Below are 23,806 nucleotides of genomic sequence, written 5' to 3' on the forward strand. Positions count from 1 at the left end.
CCAGTTGTCCAAAAACAGCTGTAATGATCTGATGTTTGGCAGTATTGACTTTTTTATAAAAATGATTTATACTCATAAGTTTTGGTGTGGCTGTAAATTAAATATACAGCTATAAATGAATTGTGATGATTTTAAAACCCTAAGTTTCCTCTTGGTTTCCACTGATGATAATTCATAATCAGTCAGCTCACTCTGGAGGCTTACAGATTGGTTCTGTTTAAAAGGAGGAGATATATATGCATTGTATTGCTTTATTTGAAAAATGAAAATAATTGCCATTGTTGCCTCTATGGTGTGAATCCCAAAACACTTTGGTGAATTGAAGGTTTTTAGATTTATGGTTGGGGCCAAATGTGGTGGCTCACACCTTTAATCCCAGCACTTTGGGAGGCCAAGGTGGGAGGATTGCTTGAGCCCAAAAGCTCAACTCTTAGGAGTTTGAGACCAGCCTGGGCAACAGTAGTGAGACCCACCCCTATCTCTACAAAATCATGAAAGACCCTTTCTCAAAGAAATAAATTTATGGTTGTGAAACATGGCTTGTAAAGCAATTAGTTAAAGTTTTGCTTTGAATAGTGCAGCAGTTTATCATGTAAGATGAAACTAATGAGGTGTTATCTTTTTTCTTCTGTTAGCATGTGCTACAAAACCTGAAGAACTTAGGTAAGTAATGTTTTGCAACTTAGGAATTGGTATAGAATTTGGGATTTATGTAGTTGCTATCATTAAACAAATATTTAAGACCTATCAAAATGTCAAGTTGTCCGTAAAGCACCAGGGATATGTCAGGGAATAAATGAACATGTAATGCCAGATAAAAGTGACATGATGAAAAATTAAAGCAGTTTAAGGAAGTAAAGAATGGGGTCGAGGCAGATGAGCCATTCATAAAGAGAATGACATACCTTTGTTATTGGCAAGTGGCTGAGGATCTTAAGATAAATTATGATCCTTATACATAAGAAGCACAAAGGAGAAAGGTTGATTTGCAAATAGGCAATTTTCTTCCTGGGATAAATCCCACTTGGTTGTGGTGTATAGACCTTCTTTATGTTATATGTTGCTGGATTTCATTAGCCTGGTATGTTTTTGGATTTGTGTGTCTATTCATCAGAAATATTGGCCTGTAGTTTTCTTATAATGTCATTGTCTGGTTTTTTATGTAGGGTGGGTAATACTGGCTTTACAAAATAAGTTTGTATATGTTCCCTCCTCATCTATTTCTTGGGAAGAATTTGTAAATAATGGGTATTAATTATTTAAATGTATGGTAGAATTCACCATTAAAGCCATCTTTCTCTTTATGTGAATCTTAAAAATTCTTATGAGAGATCTGTTCAGATTTTCTTTTCTTCTCTTTTTTTTTGTTGGGGTGGGGGTAGGGGACGTGCAGGGCCTAGCTCTTTCACCCAGGCTGCAGTACAGCAGCTTGAGCATGGCTTGGCTCACTGCAGCCTCTCCCTCCTAGGCTCAAGTGATCATCCCACCTCTGCCTCCCAAGTAGCTGGGACTACAGGCACTTGCCATCATGCATGGCTAATTTTTAAATTTTTTGTAGAGATGGGGCCTCCCTGTATTGCCCAGGCTGGTCTCAAACTCCTGGGCTCAAGCAATCCTCCTGCCTCTGCCTCCCGTCTTGCTGGGATTACAGGCGTGAGCCACAGCACCAGGCCCTCCCGGATTCTCTTTTTCTTCTTGATTCAGTTTGGGAGTTTGTATCTTTCTAGAGTTTTATCTCTTTTATCTGTGGTATCTAGTTTGTGGGGATACAGTTTGTATTCCCTTTTCCTTTGTATTTCTAAAAGTTCCATAGTAATATCTCCTCCTTCCTTTCTGATTTTTAGTATTTTGAGTTTTTTTTTTTCTTGCAAAAAAAAAAACTAGTCTAGCAAAAGGTTTGTCAATTTTGTTGACGTTTTCAAATAGAAAAGCTTTTGGTTTCATTGATTTTTCTGTTTTTCTGTTTCATTAATTTTTGCTCTATATTATTTTTTCCTTCCACTTTAGGTTTAGTTTGCTGTTTTTCTAGTATTTAAGGTGGAAGATTAGGTTATCTGAGATCTTTATTTTTTAACATTTAAAGATATTAAATTTCCTTTCAAGCACTGCTTTAATTCAATAAGTTTTGCTATGTTGTGTTCTTGTTTTTTGGTTACCTCAATTTATTTTCTAACTTGTGATTTCTTCTTTGACTTGTTTGATTACTTAGGAGTGTGTTGCTAAATTTCCTTGTATTTGTGAATGTCAAAATTTTATTTTTTTCTAATTTTATTCCATAATGGGTAGAGGACATACTTTGTATGATTTCAATCCCTTTAAACTTATTGAGACTTTTTTTATGGCCCCTCCATATGAGTCACCCAGGAAAATAGTTTATGTGTACTTAAGAAGAGTATATATTTTGCTGTTTCTGAGTGGAGTGTTTCATAGATGTCTGTTAGTTTATTGTGTTCAGATCTTCTGTTTCATTGTTCATCTTTTGCCTAGTTTTAATCCGTTATTGAGAGTGGAGTATTGTAGTCTACAACTATTGTCTATTTCTTCCTTCAGTTCTTTCTGTTTTTGTTTCATGTATGTTGTGGATTTGGGGTAGGTATGTATGTGTTGTTAATTGTTATATTATCCTGATGGACTGTTCCTTTTTATCTCTAGTAACTTTTGTTTTAAAGTTGATTTTATTTGATGTAAATATTGCCAGTCCAGTTTTCATATGGTTGCTTTTCCATGATATAACCTTTTCATCAAGTCTGGAAGTTTTTACCCATTATTTCTCTAGATATTCTTTATGCTGTCTTTCTCTTCTCCTTCTGGAATTCTCATTAACATGTAAGTTGTTACACTTGATGGTGTCCTACAGGTCTCTGAGTCTGTTCGCTTCTCTTTATACTTTTTTTTTTTTAGACTACATAATCTCACTTGACCTGTCCTCAAGCTTACTGATTTTTTTTTTTAAACCACTTAAATGTTTGTTTCACTGGCGAGAGTATCTACTTTTGTTTTCAAATTACCATTCTGAAGGTCTTGCTTCTGATGGCTCCATTAATTAAATTTAATTAATTAATTAATTTTTTTTGAGACGGAGTCTTGCTCTATCGCTCAGGTTGGAGTGCAGTGGCATGATCTTGGCTCACTGCAACCTCCGCCTCCCAGGTTCAAGCGATTCTCCTGCCTCAGCCTCCCAAGTAGCTGGGATTACAGGCACGCACCACCATGCCCACCTAATTTTTTGGATTTTTAGTAGAGACAGGATTTCACCATGTTGGCCAGGCTGGTTTCGAACTCTTGACCTCATGTGATCCGCCTGTCTCGGCCTCCCAAAGTGCTAGGATTACAGGTGTGAACCACCACGCCCAGCCGGCTCCATTAATTTTAATATTACTTATTACAATGAGGCTATATCTGTGGTCTCATATAATGCTTAATAATTGGTATGTATTAGAGTCTCCTAGAATGCCTGTTAAAGATAAGATTCAGACCATACCCACAAATCTAATTTATTTTTGAATTTGTCTGTACTCTTATATGGCAGTTGTCTCACTAGACTTTTTTCAAAAGAAGTTGGTTATTTTTGGATATTGAGTATCATCAGCCTCACCTTGAAATGTCCATTTTTTTTTCACTTTGAAAGCTGTTAAAGCCAGTCCGTGATTAGTGATTGACTATAATAGCACTCCGCTTTCTGAACAAGGACTCCCCTCAAGTTTCTTTAGCTGTCAATAGGCTGTTGAAAATAAATAAATAAATATAACAGGGAGGAAGTGAAATTTCTGTGAAACTCTCTCCGTGAGATTTTTATTAGGTAAAAAAACAACATTTTGTGCCTTTTCTGTGCTGTATACTTTTATTTTTCTTGGATTTATTTATAAGCTATGTTTTTCAGAAAAGTAGAGTAATGGCTGGGAGCAGTGGCTCATGCCTGTAATCCTAACACTTTGGGAGGCCAAGGCAGGCAGATCACCTGAGGTCAGGAGTTTGAGACCAGCCAGACCAACGTGGCAAGACCCCATCTCTACTAAAAATACAAAAATCAGCTGGGCGTGGTGGTGCGCGCCTGTAATCCCAGCTACTCTGGAGGCTGAGACAGGAGAATTGCTTTAACCCTGGAGTCGGAGGTTGCACTGAGCCGAGACTGCGCCACTGCACTCTAGCCCGGGTGATAGAGCAAGACTCCATCTCAAATAATAAAAAGAAAAAGAAAAATGGAGTAATGTTTGAGATTTTTCTGTACCTTTGAAGCTATTTTGTTTATTTAATGTATTATGTCTTGCTTTCCTGAAAAGGAGGCTGGGATATGGAATATTAGAGCTTAAAGTAAAAAGTGAGTACCTGCTAAAGTTAGCAGAAATGTAAACAAAGTATTCAGCAATGGTACGTAGTTGAAAAATTAAGGCTTTTATTTGCAAAATAGGAGGTTTTTCTTTAAGATGTTCTGAAACACATTTCTGGTAAAATATGAATATATATAGTGCCTGTTTTGGAATTATGATTAATTTAACTTTAATGGCTAAATGTTGGTGTCTCTTCATTAGTGATGCTTTTGACTCTGGAAAACATAGCAGAAATGGTATATTTAAGGAATGGTTTTTTTTTAGACTAAGCTTTTAGAAATGAGATGTAGTGGGGGACCCAACTCTCCTGAAGGTTATTGAGCACCACCCATCGCAGTGCTTGAGAAAACCTGAGCTCAGACTGGCATGTTGTATGCCCTTTCACTCTTGCCCTTCCATTTCTGTTTGTATGAACAGTTTTGCTCTATTGAACCATGGAAAACAGTACTGTTTGAAAAGGCACAACTATTTGACCTGAAAATCTTCTCGACCTTGTATTCTGCAGTTTTGTAAAATGCCCATTTGAATAACAGATTTTTTAATTGGCTAATGTCAGTCATTTTTCTTGTACTGTTTTGGCTCTTAACTATTCTTGTGAGTCATGAATACTATAAAGTATTTAAGAGGTGATGTTTTAAAGGATAGTTGACATTTCAATTACTAGTACTTCTTATACAGGCTTAATATGCAGTCTTGAAGACAGGAAAGAGGAAAAGAAAAAATGGTAGAGGAAATCAAATGAGTAGAAGGTATACTATGTAAAAGCAAAAATGGTCAGTTATTGTATGTAGTCCTTTAAAAAGGGAAGCTTGAACTAGGTTAGTAATGAGAAATAATTCAGTAATTCCTTCATATTCATGGAAGTGAAAGAATGTATATAATTATCAGAAAATAATGCTTTCTGTATTTCATACAATTTAAAACAGGAAGCTATGGTTCAATTAACATCACTTATAAATATTTTGTTCTCATGTTAATCTTATTGATCACCTACTAAAGTTATTTCTAGTTAAAGGAAAAGCTTCAGAGAATAACCAAGGAACTGTGGACTAGTAGGTCTAACTTCTGTACCAAGCAGGCTGGGTGAGATTTCATTAAGACTTAGGATCATGGGTATTCTAGGAAGAGCAACATGGTTAGTAAAAAGAAATTGTGCCTGATGGGTATAATCTTTAAAATTGCCATGGCAGTGGATCTGCACTAAATTGTTTGTTTTGTGTGTGTGTGTGTGTGTGTGTGTGTGTGTGTTTTGGTGGGGTGGGGTTTTGTTGTTGTTGTTGTTTTTTGAGACAGGGTCTTGCCCTGTCACCCAGGCTGCAATGCAGTGGCATCATCATGGCTCACTGTAGCCTCAACCTCCTGGGATCAGGCAGTCCTCCTGCCTCAGCCTCCAAAGTATCTGAGACTACTACAGGCACGCACCCTCACACGTAGCTATTTTTTAATTTTTTGTAGAGTTGGAGGTCTGGCTCTGTTGCCCAGGCTGGTCTCAAAGTCCTAGGCTCAGGCAGTCCTCCTGCCTCGGCCCCTGAGAGTGCTAGGATTACAGGCATGAGCCACCATGCCTCACCAATAGTATTTCTTTGAAAGGTATTTTGTTGTTGTTGTAATCACTGTTATTTGTATTTTGCTAATATTAACTCATTTAGTTGTTCTAACAGTCTCATGCAAATGAGCAACCCAAGGTGTACAGAATAGACCTAGTGACACAGCTTGGCTTTGAACCCAGACAGTGATAGTGCAAGTTATAGTGACTCAACTTGTAATTGATCTGTAGTTCTTAAAAAAATAGAATATAAAATATGTTCACTCTTCATTCCCCAGCGTTTTAGCAGGGCCTCTCTTCATTCTTAGGTTCTTAACTGGTTGGCTTTCATTATCAGGTAGCGGTTTTTTGCTCTCACCTTGTTAGAAAGGCTTCTGGATCCTCTATTCAGAGGTTGTGTTTGAGAGCTTTGCCTGTTTCCTCTTAGTAGAATGACATGTTGGCTGGTTATAAAATAATATTCTTGATTACTGCTATGGGAGGCCTTTGCCAACCTGATAATTGGTAGTGATTTACTTTTAAATCTGCTCGGGGTACCCGAAGTATTCTTTCCTTATCCTTGAAGTTGAGTGGCTGAACAATAGGGGATCGATTGCATTTCATTTTCTGTCTCATTTTCCTGAAACACAGTGCTGTCGTTAAATCTGTAAATTATTTTCTCACTTTCAAGGAATTTTTTTATATTTTTGAATTATTTTTTACATTAGTTGAATTTCTTACTTCAGGGATACCATTTATCCTTGTTTTAGAATGTCTGACATTAGGAAACTTTTTTTCTCATTTTGTTGTGAGTTATAGTTCATCTTTGAGTTTTTATTTTACTGAATTTTTTTTTCTGTTGTTCTGTAGTTTCTGGGTTTTTTTTTTTGTATTATAGGTTGAGGGTTTTTTCAAGTGCTTTTTGTGGGAATGGCGGGGTGGGGATGGGTACAAACTGAACTGAAAATTTTTTTTTTTTGAGATGGAGTCTCGCCCTGTCGCCCAGGCCGGAGTGCAGTGGCACGATCTCAGCTCACTGCAAGCTCCACCTCCTGGGTTCACGCCATTCTCCTGCCTCAGCCTCCCAAGTAGCTGGGACTACAGGTGCCCGCCACCACACCCAGCTAATTTTTTGTATTTTTAGTAGAGACAGGGTTTCACCGTGTTAGCCAGGATGGTCTCGATCTCCTGGCCTCGTGATCGCCCACCTCAGCCTCCCAAAGTGCTGGGATTACAGGCGTGAGCCACCATGCCTGGCCTAAACTGAAAATTTTAGAACGTGTTTATAAGTCATTTGGAGAGGAAGGTGTACACAGAGAAGTTTCAAACTTTCTAAACCTTTTATACTAAGGCCTTTTGAGTTATAAAACGCTGAGTTGTTGCCGACACTGGAAAATCTTGAGGGTAGGAATATACAAAAGAAGTGACAGATAAGTTTATGTGGGATTGTGTTGCTGTCTTTGTTAGGCCATCCTTGATAGCTGTTGTCCAATGAATAAACAGTTGTGAAGTATACCTCTAAAGCATGATTAAAATATAGGTGTATGGAAACATCAAATGAGCAACTATAGAAAAGCAAGTATTTGCCTATAAGAACAAATGTTTTCAGGTATCTGACATTCTTAGTTTTAGGTACTAGCAGTAGTTTTATTCTTTATTTGAAACAAAACGTTAATATCTTTAAAATAAATATTTTATTAGTGTATGTGTTATCTTACAAAATGAAGTCCTGAAATTTCATATAGGGTTTTTAATTGATTTTTTTTTCCCATTACAGTGTTCACAATAATGTTTCGACCCAAAGTAATGGCTCCCAACAGGTAAGACAATACTAAGCTTCTAAAACACTGGATCACCCGTTAATTATGGTAACAGTAGTAGTATTGATTGGATTTTCATAGTGGTGTATGTAACCCTGCACAAATTATGTGCATTTTCTTTTCCTTTTCCCTTAAGTGGTTCAGTAATAACTTCCGGTTATTTTATTCTCTAAGATTTTGTAAAGGAAACCGGTGCTCTATAAAACATTTTATGTCTCTGTGAATCCAAGAACATAATTTAACTGACTACTAATATTTCATTCATTAACTATCTCTAAGGTGTATATAAAATTCAAGCATTTGTATACATTTTAATTGTTGGCTTTGTAAATAGTACTCCATTTTAGTATTTGTTGGTGAAGAGATCTGTTATCGAGGCAAAATAGATAATTTTTATAATTTTTGTCCAAAGGCTTGGGGGATGAGATCTGCTCTGCCTGTGAGTCCTTCCATTTCCTCTGCTCCTGTGCCAGTGGAGATAGAGAATCTTCCACAGAGTCCTGGAACAGACCAGCATGACAGGAAATGGTTTGTTAATTCCTTAAACTAAAATAAAATATTGCCTAGTTAATTGTATTTGGAATTCCAAGTCATAATCTTAAAGTACTTTAAATATGATTGAAAGCAAATTATTCATATTTGTGAGCTGGAAAGCTTATTATTAAATAATCATATTGAGATGGGGAAAATAAGGATGTTGGTGATAAAGGGAGTGCAGTTGTCTAAATGAAGACCATCAGACAGCTGTCCTTACTTATTATTTATTTGAAACAAAACGTTAATACATTTAAAATAAATCTGCCCTTATTAGCTTGATGTGGTAGTGGTGGATGATTCTCTGCTGAAAAAGACAGTAGAATATTTTCCCAGGTCCGTAAGGAAAGTATATCCACTACGTGTTATTCCACACAACATGATGCTACTTTGAATGTGTTTTTCTCATTAAAGACGAAGGGTAAAGTCAGAAGCAAAACATGATTAAAATCTGATAAAGCATGAGATACCCTAAGGAGACTGAGAGAGAATCTGATGACAGGAAAAAGATACTTTAATTATTTAGACTTCCAGGTTCTTTTTTTAGATTAATAGTAAATATACAAATATGGATACTTTGTGTCTTATTGGAGTTAATCACTTGAGTTTATCCTTTCCCAAATAAATATATGTGGCTTGGTGGGGGCTCCTTGGGGATTATTTGATTCAGTGGTCATGTTGGGTGTATCACCTGTTCAAGTTATTTGTCTGTTTGTGAAATGAATTTTGATAATTCATAGGATTTTTCTCTTTTTCTCTTGCTCTTAGTTTGTTTAGTACCTGAAATCTAATGCATTTCTGTGGTGATCTCAAGGTTTTGGTCAGCTTTCTGTGCAGCCAGTTCTTCCTTCATGGTGGTGGCTCAACAGTGGTTGGTGATTGTTTTCAGTCTTTGCTATGTAATTATTTTTCACTGTTATTTTGGCTTAACTAACTGCAGGGTGCCTTGCTCTTGATACTTGGGTGTATTTTTATTTCAGTTCCAAATAACTTGTGATTAGTTTATAAGATTGAGTTCCCTTCTCCCCTGGCCCCATTTTCTCCTTTTTATTTTCTTTCTACATGGGTATGTGGTGGTGATACTTTGTGTATATTTGTGTGCATCTGGGGACACACTTAAAAGTGTAAAGAGTGAGGCTTATAAATGTCAAATTTATTTTTGAAAGTCATTTTTAGAAAGTTTCTTCAATTTCTTATGGAAAACACAGCTCCTGTAAGCAGTTATGTTTTATCTCATTGATGTTACCACCAAGTTCTGTTTGCAAGGAAAAATAGTATTGAGACTTCAGCTATAAAGGAAGTGTCTTTGCCTATTATGTTAATATGGAGTGAGGGTCTGATTAGTTGGGATACTATATTACGACACTGAATCTTTGAGTTTTTCCATATGAATAGGTACATATTTAAACCTGTTTGATTTGATTTGTTAGGTACTACTTGGTTTCTTTGATGCATCCTTTAGAAAGAGCATTGAATTTATTAAATTTTAAGGAAAATGAAAAATTTGGAGCTGTGTGTTCTCCTTTCTTTATGTGGTTGTGCTGAGACCTCCTTTGCTGAAATAGAGTAAAGTGATGCTCTTTATAACATAATAAGCCTCAGTGTAGGTCAACAAGGGCATGGAACTGAATATAGAGCTGGCATGTTTTGGAGATAATGGACTCTCCCGCCTTAATTTCATATGTGTTCTGCATTTCATTCTTTTTTCTGCATGCTTTGATTCTTGTTAATGCTTTCAAAAGAATATAAAGCAGTCCTCCTTTAGAAAGTGATAAATGGTTAAAATTTGGAAATGCTTCCTATGTTTGAACAATTGGGCAGAATAATGGACCATTCTATTGCTTGCAGGTAACTTTCAACCAATTTAATCTACACCTACTCCCTGTTCAAGTCTTCAGCATTTTTTTGCTGGTATCTTTTAAATGACACCATTATTAGAGCAAATGATTTGGCATATCAGTGGCTTAGAATAATCAAGTATTTAAAATTTCACTTTTTGAGAAACAATTCATGTATTGTAAACCCATAAATCATTTGTAAGCAACAACAGAAACAAAACTGAATAGTGTTTAGAAAACCTTGCATTGGTAGGGGAGAACATAAACCTAATTTAGTTTTCTAAATTTTTAGAGACCATAACTTGAGGGTTGTGATTTTTGTGAGCCAGGTCTGATGAACAAATTGTATTTCAGTTAAAAGAAAGATGATTTTGTTATTAAAAAAGCCTTCCAATTTTGTTTTGAAAAATTATTTTAGTTAATTTATTTTCAGTTTCCCTAAGGGATAAAGGTGAAGATTAATGTTTTGGTTGAGTTAGAAAGATAACACTTATTAAAAATGTATTTTTGCACATATTTTATATTTGGGGTGGCATTTTCCTTTGTAGTTATTTTAAATATATGCTGCCCTTTCTGCCATGTCACAAGACTTTGATTTGCTTTCTTTCTACTGGAGGACTCTGATCAGTTCTGACCAAGAACTGCATGTATGCATGTTTCACTCTTAGAATTCTATAGGCCTTTTCTATAGCACTGTGATAAAAGGTGCCTAATATGCTTACTAAACTACTTCTTGGAGAGGGTGTATCATCTCATCACATTATCTGTACCTGTTGAATTTCATTTTGAGGTCTTGTGAACTTTGATTATATAAGGAGCGATGATTCTCTATTGCTAATTGGGAACATTGATGTAAAATTACATGGCCTCTGAAGGTAGATTTTTTATTTTTAGTGCTCTTTCTGAATTTTGTTTCCTGCATTTCAGTTCTGTGAAATCCCATAATTTGAGGAAGAATTTTCACAGTTTTCCTTTTCCATATATGCTTTTGTCCTTATGTAGAGTTCTTTTTTCAAATATTTGAAGTTAAGTAGATTATGAATATTTTTTTCTTCTGATTAAAACCCCTAACAACATTTCTGCTTTTAATATTAGTAACAACATCAGGGACAGATACAGAGTGTCTTGCTTTCTGAGAAATTTCTTCTTTAATTCACTTAGCTGACTCAGATTACTTACATGTATTTCCATATTGGTATTTTTCATTACATGTAACTTTGTGGATTTCCCCCACTTTGTTATTCTTGAATGTTATCATTGCATGGAGTAGATGCTGGTAACTACTCATAGCAGCAGTGCATGCTAGTCACATTACCTTTCCCCTTTATTGTCTCTTACACATCCATTTTCTCCTATTCCTATTGACTAACTGTGCTCCCCTCCCACTCCCCAACCATCCAGGCTCTCTGCTGCCAGCGACTGCTGTCAACGTGGTGGAAACCAGTGGAACACAAGGGCCTTGCCCCCACCCCAGACCGCACATAGAAACTACACTGACTTTGTTCATGAGCACAATGTGAAGAATGCAGGAATCCGTCATGATGTTCATTTTCCTGGCCATACAGCCATGACTGAGATATGAGTGTTGAGCCTCTTAGGCTTTGGGACTCTTTGTCATGCAAGTTGATGGTATACATTATCTGGTGTTTATAAAGGATTAATCACATTAGGAGTATTTGGGAGAATTTACAGTGAGTCACTAGTTGTTCAGTGCTGTTTGTAATTGAATTCTTCCATGAAAGGGACAAGGAATCAAGGAAGCCATATAGCATCAATGATAATGACAAATGTTTGTGTTGAAAAGAGTGTGTATACCATTGTGGTTTTGGAAGAGTTTTCAGACCTTAGTATGTTCACACATCACCAGACTGTATCTCAGGAGAAGGTTTGTGTTTGTGAACAAGGTGCCCATTATTCCCCCACCACATGCCATCCAAAGAGATCGAGGTTAAAAGAATCAGACACACTAAAAACACAGTGGAAGCATGTCTAGGCATAATATATCAGCCTTTTGAGATATTTATTAAAAACTTGTTCTTATACACTATTTTAATATGTCTAAAGTGACACATACCTTAATTTAAGTGCCTAAGATTTTAATTAATATAATTTTTAATTACAAACACTTTTACTTTTTAATAAACACGAATATTTTAACTTACCAAAAGATTTAGAGATCACATTAATAATGTGGCTCATGTATAGAGAAATCTGAATGGTTAGTTTTGAATGGTTAACTGATTAACATTCAGTTATCATAACAGTTAACCAGTGGTTAACTGAATGGTTACATTACTACTGAATGGTTCTATAAAATGAAAAACATATTTACTTTGTCTTTTCATTTGACTGGCTTTTCTCTTTCATCTCATACACCTGACAGATTACCCAGGTTTGCAACAGTCTCATAATCTGATCCTGTATAACCTTTAAAATAAAATTCTGAAGCCAAAACCATATGATTTTTAGATTGTATTACTATTTTTGATCCTTTTTAAACTTTAGAATTTCAAGCTCCTTGGTTTAATTAATAGAAGTGAATTAGCTGGAAAAAGTCCATTTCTGATAGGAAAACATGTTAAGGGAAGCATTTCTTCTGTCTTTTTTTAGTTTTCTTTTATATTTTAGAAAAATTTTCAAATTTTTAAACTATGTACATAGAAATTTATAGATATTTTATATTTCGAAGAGTTTATAATGCTTCAAGATAATGAAGCTTCATTATAAACAGCTTAACTCATTTAATGCATCCTGCTCACATAGAGGTTGGTTTTATATCTCAAATCCTTCCTGCCAGACAAAGATTAAGGTTTCAGAGGGCTTAATACTGGACTATTGGTTTAATACTGAATGGTTGGTTGCAGTTTGTCCATAGAAGACCTAAATAAGCAGAACTGACTAATATTTAAAGAATGAAATTTGTAGGCAGGTTTCAATCTGAGTTTAGTATAATTATGTGTAAGAGGATGGCCACTCAAAGTATTTAGCACATCCTCTAAATATAAATAGATCTGTATCTTAAATAGCCCGGCTCCCACCTCTTTAAGCCCATCATCGTTTAGCAAGCTTAAAAATGGCCACTAATGTATGGCCCTTATAGTTGTTTTAGACTTTACATAGCTCAGATGATAATTGCTAAGTATTGTCATGGCTGATTTTTTTTCTTAAAAGAGAGGAATTTGGATTATAACATTTTAAGCACAGAAGCTCTGGGTTGTGCCATTCAAGAAAAGGTTTCATGGGTATGTATATCATTAAAAAAAGTACTGTTTCTATAGTAAAAACCAAAGAGGCACAATGAAGTTGTAAGATTTGACTTCACTCACTTTAAAATTATTCTTAATCTGCAGGACATGCTCATATAATGCCCCATATATATCTTAGCAGATTGTAATTGAAGAGTAAGATCTTCAGTTCATATTGAAAGTGGCCATTTCTGTATTTATAATTTGAGTTAATCAGTACTGTTACATTTAAGGGAAGATTCACCTCATGATTTTTCTTTTGTTGAAAACCTTGTTGTAAAGAATTGATTTGCGAATTCCTGATGAGAGAAACTGGATTGGAGGGGTGTTAGGGATGGAGGCAGCGATAGGGGTGAGGAAAGTAAAGGGCTAAGGCTGGATGGTAGTAAAATTAAACTTGTCTATTTTATAGAAGTTCCCATATGCTTCAGAATTTCATATCAAATATTGCAAATACTTGTTCTTTTTACTGATATTTGCAAGATGGATATATATGTTGTTTCCAGAGCTCTCAGGTATTTATAAGTAGCTCAACCTAAATTAAATAAATTGTCACCAACCTATTTACACTCTACATTTTATTATGCCTAAAGAGTCAGTGATGATAAATTCGGAATTAGAGAAGTAATAACCTCCAGAAGCACCTTACTGGGTCACCATCCTTTTGATCAAAGGGTGTCATCAGTACAGAACTTAAGTATTATGTCATTTAATTTACAGTGCTTTGGCTAATTTTATTTAACTTAATTAATTTAACATCTTGAATTAGGTTGGTTACATTTTGACTGTTTTTACAGTCAAGGAAACTTGTAGAAACACAGCAAAGCTAGTGACCTTCACACTTTCACGCATGAACATAAATGAGCTCATAAGATCATCGTCTCTTTTTGTTGCGTTTCAAAGGCGTTTACCTATCTTGGAGTAAGATCTAACATTTCTGACCTTGATAGGATAATCATAGATAACATACTTTTAAATGAATTTACAGAGAAAAATAAATTTTATTTGTCCTACTATGTGTATAATATGTCTGTTTTGAAAAGCACCTAGTATACAAACACTAATATTGTAATACCAGTATAATTCAAATCATCTTTTTTTTTTTGGAGGGGAGTTTATTTAAAGTGTTGGCCAAAAAATGTTATTTATAACACTTGGTTGGATCTTTTTTTAAAAATTTCTTTTCATTGTTGTTCACTGTTCAAAAGGTACATCGCCAGGTTGGATCTTTTTATTTACTAATGTAAACTGAACAAGTTTGAAGGTGGTTGTCCCCTATTAGTTCATCGTGCCCCAGTGGTGGGAGCTATAGTTGTTTGAGCCATGGTACTGTCTTTGGTCAGGGCACACTCTTCATTTCTAAACCATGGTTCATTGCTTTGAGAGGCTGTTATTTTAGTGTTAGTCTTTGAATATTGGTTTGAAAATATTACAGTTACTATTTTTTATGATTGGTATTAGGACTTATGGATTTGCTAAAACAAAATCATCTTGTCTCAATAACGTTTTCTCTCTTTCCCACCACATTCTTCCTTCCTGAATTTTAATATGTGTTATACCACATCATCAGTTATATCTTGCTTTCCAGGATTGTTGTGAATGCTTGTATGTGAGATGCTTTTACATAAGGGCTAGGATTTGGAGATAATTCTGCGGTGGGGAAACAACTTTCTCTCCTTCCTTCTCCATGCCAGCCTCTTCCCCTACCCCCATGTATAAAATGTGATTTGTCAGATCCTTTCTAGATACTATGAATCGTGGATTTAGATATGGTAGTCTTCCTCTAACCCCCTTTTGCAGAACATAAACATTTCTCATCCTCTGTTCATACAATTTTTTACTTTAGTCACATGAAAACATTGTGAGAATGGAATCTTGTTCCATTAACGTTAACCTTGGTGGTGTAGAAATTAGGACATGAAGCATGTCACTTTCAGTGTAAAATATGTCAAGGAACTTCATTTCTTTCATCAATTCCTGACAATTGCTAATGTAGTAATGCACTTTAGTTGCTTTGAGCACTTTGGGCTGGTGAGAAGGGAAATACATAGTGTCTTTGTTAAAAGAATGAGTGAAGAGAAGAGAAAATTTTAAAAGAAATTGGTGAAAGGAAAATAACTTTGGCTTTTTTATTGTTATTTTTATACTGAAGTAGACAAACAATTGTTCCTGTTCTTCCTGAAGGAATTGTTGTCACAATTTTATTATTATTAGATAATTACCTAAGCTTCTGTGTTACAAGCTGTGGCCTCAGTTCTAGGTGGTGGTGCTTGAGTGAACATTTTACATTTTGTTCCTGACAGCTGGCCAGCATTGTGTTTATATTGGCATGGAAAAGAGATATCTGATTCAGAGAACAGTGTTTTCCAAGGATTGTGACTGAAGACTTCCTTAATGGTGTAATAATGTACCTCCTCATAAAAACAGGTTTGACAGCTGTAGCTCATTTTTTGTTGTTGAAGGAAGTTTTATTTGTTTTGTTTTTAACTACTTTTAATAAAGAATTGAGATCCAGTGTATGATTAAGATTTGTAAGAAATTGCAGATTCCTTAATAAAGCTCGCATCTACAGACATGACTAATCATTGATAATAATAAATGCAAAATATTTTAAATTATTAGGGGTAGAGTTAAAAAATGAAAAATAAAAGGTTATGATAATAGGAAGATGATTGCTGGCTTGATTTACCTTGTGGAACTAGTTAGAGGAGTATTCAGATAAATTGTGGAAAACATTAGAGGATGCAAAATACCACTGGAATTTATACCCATTAACAGAGAAGAGTTTCTTATTACAAAACTGTATTTGTAGCCCCACCAATAGCTTCAGGAATTATTTAATTATAAACTGTAGAAGTTTGGAGATAAGACCTGTGTTTAATAACTCGCATTAAATCTTTCTGGGGACATCATCAGCAAAACTCTTGGATAATTAGAAAGACCTGGGAAGATTGGGTTCTCTGGAATATCCAGGTTATCACTTTGAAATTTCACAATCATGTTGGAATAATAACATTAAAATATTTGAGTAGTAAAGGCATTGAATATCAGTCTGAGTCATCCACATTTGGTAAGGAGGCCTGGGGCATTTGTTGCAGTGAAAGATTTCAGGAGTCTTGTATTGATATCTCTTTTTTTGATTCATCTTATTTGTTGGACACCTACCAGAGTACCTCATTGGGTCTTCTTTATACACAGCCACTTATCATTATGCCTTTCCACATACCCTTGAATTTCTTGACCCTCTTCCTGTTGTATGCATCTGGTTAAATCCAACTCTGTATACTCTGCATATAGCTGGTGAATGTGAAATACACACAAAATTTTTGAGTGGTCTTTAAATTTTGACCACTAAGCTCAAGTGAGCCTTCAATGCTCCCTGATACCATATTACATTTCCTTAATCTATTTGTTCTCCTACAATGCTGGGCTGACTTTCTCCTCTTACAAACCACTTCCTCCTCTTACAAACCACTTCCTCCCTTCCTACTCTGTTCTCAGCTGATGACCTTGCTTCCTACTTTATTGAAAACATAAGCAATCAGAAGAGGTCTTCTCTGTACTCCCACCATTTTATCAGTGAACTTACCTGCATTTGGGAATTTGTTCCTTGCTTTCCCTGCTGTTACTCTAGGTGAACCATCCATACTCTAAGGCCCAGGTCCTCACTAGTCATTTAGATCCTCACCTCAAGTTACTCAAGACCATCATTTGAGCAATCCTCCGTTTTGTTCTACTGCATCGGTTTTCCCTTTCTACTGAAGTATTCTCATCAGAACAAAAACTTCCTAAGATAGCTCACATCATTTAAAAAAGAACTCCCTTGAATCTACCTCTTTTGGCAATTCCTCCATTTTTTTGTTTCACAGGTAGCAAAACTGTTTGCTTTGTAAGAATTGTCTATACTTGCTATCTCTTCTTTCTCTTAATCTCTTGAACCCATTCTAATCAAACATTGTCCCTGACACAGAGGACTGGGTATGATTGTGCAGATTGCATACTGTACAAGAGTGCCACATTTAGGAGAATGATGTTCACATAATTTATGACAGTGATTTTCCAGCAGATGGCACTAAGTGTCTTGTTCCGAAAAGATTAGTGTATTTGACAATTTTGCAAATTGGATGTGTCTTTTCAGAGGAGCATTGTTTTAATCCATATAAAGGCTCTGCCTTGAGTTAATAGTGTTATGCTACTACTCCACCAAAATAGCTTTATTAGATCACAAATGACCTGCATATTTCTAATCCCACAGTCCATCTTTTAGTCAGCTTAATTAGCATTCAGAAATCGCTCACTTCACGAAATTGTCATCACCTAGCTTAGAGATGTCACTATTTTTTATTGTCTTCTAACCTCCCTTCTAACACGCCATTGTCTTCTAACAAGCCATTGTTTTTAATCCCCTTTGCTAATGCCTACTTATCTCTCCAACCCCTAAACTCTGTTTAAGGAACTTTCCCGTAACAATTTATTCCCTTTGTAATATCATCCAGCATTATGGTTTTAAATGCTATCTATACACACTGGCAATTTCTCAGTTTATATCATCACCCTGAACTTTTAAATTTCCACACTTACATATCCAACTGCCTATCTGACATCTCTACTTAGGCATCTAATATAGGCATCTCATTTTAAATATTCTTTATTTTGAGGTAATGTTCAGCTTACAGAACAGTTTCAGGGATAGTACAGAAATTCCCACACCCTCCTGCCCTACCTTCCCCTATTTTTTTTTTTTTTTTTTTGAGACCAAGTCTCACTCTTGCCGAGGCTGGAGTGCAATGATGCAATCTCTGCTTACTGCAGCCTCCGCCTCCTGGGTTTCAGCAATTCTCCAGCCTCAGCTTCCGGAGTAGCTGGGACTACAGGAGTGCGCCACCATGCCCAGCTAATTTTTGTATTTTTTAGTAGAAACGGGGCTTCACCATGTTGGCCAGGCTGGTCTCAAACCCCTGGCCTCAAATGATCCTGATCTGCCCGCCTTGGCCTCCCAAAGTGCTGGGATTACAGGTGTGAGCCACCGCTCCTGGCCCCCTGTTGTTAACACTCCACATACATTCCATAACTTGTACCAATGTTAATTTCTTAGATTTTGTTTGTTTCACAAAACCTAAGAAATTAACATTGGTACAATACCACAAACTAAACTGGACCTTACTCAGGTTTCACTAGTCTTTCCACAAATTTTCCAGGATCTGACCCGAGATCCCATGTTACATTTAGTCCCCTTCAGCCTGTGACAGCCATTCCATGTTTTTCATGGTTGGCCAGATGCCTTGTGGAATATTTCTTGATTTGGGTTTGTGTGGTATTTTCACATGATTAGTTTGAGGCCACGGATTTGGGAGAAAATACTGCAGAAGTGATATTGGGCATCCCGAATTTAATATGTTCAAAATTGGACAAATATATCTCCTGACCCCTGCAGTTTTTCCCATCTTTGTGGTTTTTGTAGCTTCGTAAGTGGCAGTTCTCTTTTTCGTGTTGCTAAGCGTGTCTTGGGCTCTACTTTAGACCTGCTGAATCAGAAACACTGGAAGTGAGGTCCAGCAATCTGTTTCACATGCCCTCCTGGAGATTCTGATGCATACTGAAGTTTGAGAAGCACTGACTTAGACCAGAGCACCTTATAGTCATCTTGACTCCTCTTTGTCTCACACTCCAGATTTCTTTCAGAATCAGTAAATTCTGTCAGTTCTGTCTTCAAAATGTATCCAGGTCTACTGCTTGTTACCATCTTTACTGCTCCCATCCTGTTTCCATTTGTTGTCAGCCCTGCCCTCTTACCTGGCCTCCTTGCCATTGCCCTTGCTCCTCTACTGTCTGGTACTCCTTTCAGCAGCTGTAGTGATAACAGCAGATCATGTCATTTCTCTGCTTACACCTGCCAGCGTCCTTGTCTCGGAGTAAAACCTCAGATCCTCACATTGATAGAAACATGCTTTTTCCTCCCTTTATCTTCTATCAATCCTGACCTTGCTTACATCCAAAGACTCATCTTCTTATACTTGCTCAAACATACCAAGCATGTTCTCTCAGGATCTTTGTACTTTTACTGCTTCCTGAGTATTCCTCCCTTCAATCTCTTATGGTTCATTCCGGCACCATCAGGTTTCTTATTGGAGAAGCCTTTCCTGACCACTCTGAAATAATCATGTTCCCCGCCCCCTGCCCAGTCTTCTTTTTATTTCCTGTCTGCCTTACCCTGCTTTATTTTTTCTCACTCCTTTCATCTTAGTATGTGTTTGTTTGTCCTCTCTATACAGATAGTCCCTTATGATGATTCTTAGGATTTTTCAACTTTATGATGGGTTTATGAGAGTATTAAGTGCATTTTTGACTTACGATGGGTTTCTCAGGACATAACCCTATTGGGTAAGTCAGAGTGTCCGTTTTTCAACAGAATGTACGCTCCGTTAAGGGAGAGCATTTATTTTGTTTCCTTCTGTATCCTCAGACACTCCATATATATTATTTGATTGAATCAATGAATACCAAGCATGTCTTGGCACATCTGGTGATGCAGAAATAGTCAAAATACTGTTCTTGGCTTCAAGAAATTTATACTCAAACTGTGGAGATAAACAGTTTTACAAATAACTGATAAAGTGCTAAATCCAGCAAGCAAGAAGAGTAGAAGTGGTTGAAGTTAAGAAGGCTTCTTGGCATTTGCATCAGGTTTCCAGTGAAACAGAAAGGAGCTTTGAATGGATAAATCATTACGGGCCCAGGGACCTATAGGAAAAGAAAATTCTAAAGTAGCTAAGTGCAAGGTGTAGTCCAGGAATGATGAATCAGGTTTGAGTAAAGAGTATAGAATTTATGGGAAGGTATCGTGATAATAATAGCTAATACTTGAGTGCTTCTGTGCCAGACATTGTTCTGGAGGTACAGCAGTAAGTATTCACTCTAGCAAAGCATCCTCATTTAATCCTTATGAGGATCTATAAGGTATTCAGGCTAGTGAAGAAATGAAGGCACAGAACAATGAGGCTGGGCTTCAAACTCAAGACAGCTTAGTCCTAGAACCCAGCCTTGGCTACTGTACTGCCTCCATAACTCTGTAAAGGTTGTTGGGGTCCAGATTGTAGAGAGTAAAAAGGAATGTAATAATTCTATTTTAGGGGGCAGTGTGAAGAATGAATTCCAATTGGTGGAAGACTGGATTGTATTATAAAAATATGCTGCCTCCATTCTATGTAATTGTTAAAGAATCAGGTCAGTTTTCATGTACTTTTACTAGAGGATATCAGTGACACTGTTGAGTTTAAAACTTAAGTGTCTGAGGTTTGTTCCCATTTTTGTGAAAGCAACCAAATCATGTATATATTAGTAAGTGCACGCACACATGCAAGAACCTAACTAGATAAACAGGCTTTCAGAAAATGGGAGTGAGGGTAACATTGCTTTTCTTAGCTATCATTCACAACTTTAACAATAAATTACTCCAAATTATGGAAGGAGACAAGGAAAACTGCTTCAGTTTACACAGGCAAGTGTCCATGAAAAGTAAGGAAATAGGTAGAAGAAAGAATGTCTTTACATATTTCTTTATACATTCTTGAGAGATGGATATGAACTAAGACATTACCAAAGCCACAGATTAATAATATTATGTGTAACTACGTTTAAAAAAATTTAAGTGTATAATTCAGTGGGTTTAGTTTATTCACAAAGGTGTACAACCATCACCACTATTTAATTCCGTAACATTTTTATCCCCAAAAGAAACCTCTTTCCTATTAGCAGTTACTATCAATTATTCCTTCCTACTAGCCCCTGGCAAACACTAATTTACTTTGTGTTTCTATAGATTTGCCCATTCTGGAAATTTCCTAAAAGTAGAATCATACAGTGGGTGTTCTTTTGTGTCTGACTTTCACTTGGTATGGTGTTTTCAAGGTCATCTGTTTTAGCATGTATTAGTACTTGATTCCTTTTAATGGCTTAATAATATTCCCTTGTATGATGCCCAGTGTTTTATTTATCCATTGTCAGTTGATAGATATTTGAATTTCTGCTTTTTGTGAATGATGCTATGAACATTGAGGTGTAGGTTTTGTATGAACATGTGTTCTCAATTGTCATGGTTATATCCATAGGAGTGAAATTATTGGGTCATATAGTAACTCTATTTTTAACATGTTGAGGAACTGCCAAATTGTTTTTCAGAGTGGCCACACCATGTGGGTTCCAGTTTTTCCACATCTTCACCAACACTTACTATTGCCTGTCTTTTTTATTATAGGCATCCTAGTTGTGAAGTAGTGTATTGTGGAGCTGGATGATGTTGGTATATTTTGATCTGCTTATTGACTTTTTGCTTATCTTCTTTAGAGAAGTATCTACAGACAGTTTCCAACTTAATGGCTTGACTTAAGAGTTTTCAACTTATGATGGTGTGAAACTGTTGTAATTTTGACATAATGTTGAAATTTGAATTTTGATCTTTTCCTGGGCTGTAATATGTGGTACATAAGATATTGAACACTTTGTTTAAAAATAGGCTTTGTGTTAGATGATTTTGTCAAACTGCAGGCTAATGTAAGTGTTCTGAGCACAGTTAATGTAGGCTCGGGTAAGCTATAATGCTCTGTAGGTTTGCTGTATTAAGTGCATTTTCAATTTACATTATCAGGATATAACCCCATCATCAGTTGAAGAGCACCTGCATTTCATTCTTTGCCCATTTAAAAAATCTGGTTATTTGTCCTTTTATTATTGAATTGTGAGAGTTCTTTATATATTTAAGATATAAGTCCATTAGCAGATACATACTTTTGAAAATTTTTTTATTCTGTGCAGTATGGTTGGTTTTGGAGAATGTTCCGTTTGTACTTGAGATGAATGTATATTCTGTTAGTGGAGCATTCTGTGTATGCCTGTTCAGTCTTTGGTTTATGATACTGTTCATCTTCTGTTTATTTATTGATCAGAAGATAAACTTATCTAGTTTTTCTGCTCATAAAGTGAAAGAACTATTGTTGTCTATCTCTAAACTTCTGATTTAGCTTTATGTGTTTGGGTACTCTGGTTTTAGTTATATGTATGTTTATAATTGTAATATTTTCTTGATGATTTTCCTTTTGTCATTGTAAAATGTCCTTCTTTGTCTTTAGCAACAATTTTTATCTTACAGTTTCTTTTGCTTGATGTTAGTATAGCCACTTCATCCCTTTTTTCGTTAGTGTTTGGATGGTACATTTTTTCCTTTTTATTTCAGTCTTTTTGTGTGTTAGAATCTGAAGTGTATCCCTTCTAGACAGCATACAGTTGGATCATGTTTTTTAATTCATTTTGCCAATCTCTGTCTTTTAATTGGACAGTTTAACATTTACATTCAGTGTACTTACTGATAAGGAAGGACTTATGCTGTTTCATTTGTTTCTGTATGTCATGTCTTTTTTTGTTTCTCACTTCTTCCATTACTGCCTTTTGTGTTAAGTAGATATGTTCTGGTGTACCATTTCAGTTCTTTTTTCTTTCTCTTACTATTTTATTTATTTGTTTTTTGAGACGGAGTCTCACTCTGTCACCCAGCCGGGAGTGCAGTGGCACGATCTCGGCTCACTGCAACCTCCACCTCCTGCCTCAGCCTCCTGAGTAGCTGGGATTACAGGTGTCCACCACCATGCCTGGCTAATTTTTATTTTTTTATTTTTAGTAGAGACGGGGTTTCACCATGTTGGTCAGGCTGGTCTCGAACTCCTGACCTTGTGATCCGCCTGCCTCGGCCTCCCAAAGTGCTGGAATTACAGACATGAGCCACCATGCCTGGCCCTCTCTATTTTAAAACATTGTTTTCTTAATGGTTACCCTGGGGATTATAATTAACATTTTATGTTATGTTGTGATCTGATGTTATGTGATATGTTATGTTGTGTTATGTTACGTTACGTTACGTTATGTTATTTTTCGAGACAAGAGTCTTGCACTGTCACCCAGGCTGGAGTGCAGTGGCACGATCTCAACTCACTGCAACCTCTGCCTCCGAGGTTCAGGCGATTCTCATACCTCATCCTCCTAAGTAGCTGGGATTATAGGAATGCACCACCACACTCAGCTAATTTTTTGTATTTTTAGTAGAGACAGGGTTTTGCCATGTTGGTCATGCTGGTCTTGAACTTCTGGCCTCAAGTGACCTGCCCGCCTCAGCCTCCCAAAGTGCTGGGATTACAGGTATGAGCCATACTGCCCAGCCTACAATTAACATTTTAATTTAAAACAATCTAGTTTGGATTATTTGGACATTAAATACCAATTTAATGTCAGTAGTACATGTAAACTTTGCTTCTATAGAGCTTTGTCTCCCACTTTGTGCTGTTTTTCTCTTACAGAATATGTCTCTGTGCATTGTATGCCCATCAACATAGATTTAAAATTTAGAAAAAACATTTTTCCAGTATTCTCATCATTTCATCCAGCTTTCACAATGATTCTGCAGTGCGCTTTCCTTTTCCTATATGATTGAAGGAGGTAATTGAGTCTTCTGCACCAATCTGGTTCTTAA

The 23,806-nt window shown here is 36.2% G+C and overlaps 1 protein-coding gene across 13 annotated transcripts in view; it reads left to right on the forward strand.

Annotated features, from left to right (window-relative positions):
• The window catches only part of EPB41L5 (erythrocyte membrane protein band 4.1 like 5), a 166,043-nt gene that overhangs the window by 79,537 nt on the left and 62,700 nt on the right, over positions 1-23,806 (forward strand). For 8 of the 13 annotated variants that reach the window (XM_047445208.1, XM_047445210.1, XM_006712651.2 and 5 more), the window contains 3 exons: positions 636-663; positions 7,631-7,673; positions 8,086-8,201. In XM_047445208.1, coding sequence (XP_047301164.1) covers positions 636-663; positions 7,631-7,673; positions 8,086-8,201 — 187 coding nt within the window. Of the gene's footprint in view, positions 1-635; positions 664-7,630; positions 7,674-8,085; positions 8,202-8,975; positions 9,107-11,446; positions 15,862-23,806 lie in introns of those variants that run through there. The other 5 variants (NM_001184938.4, NM_001330307.2, NM_001184939.3 and 2 more) reach the window with 3 other exon arrangements.

This window comes from Homo sapiens, chromosome 2 (genome assembly GCF_000001405.40).
Source record: "Homo sapiens chromosome 2, GRCh38.p14 Primary Assembly".
NCBI lineage: Eukaryota > Metazoa > Chordata > Mammalia > Primates > Hominidae > Homo > Homo sapiens.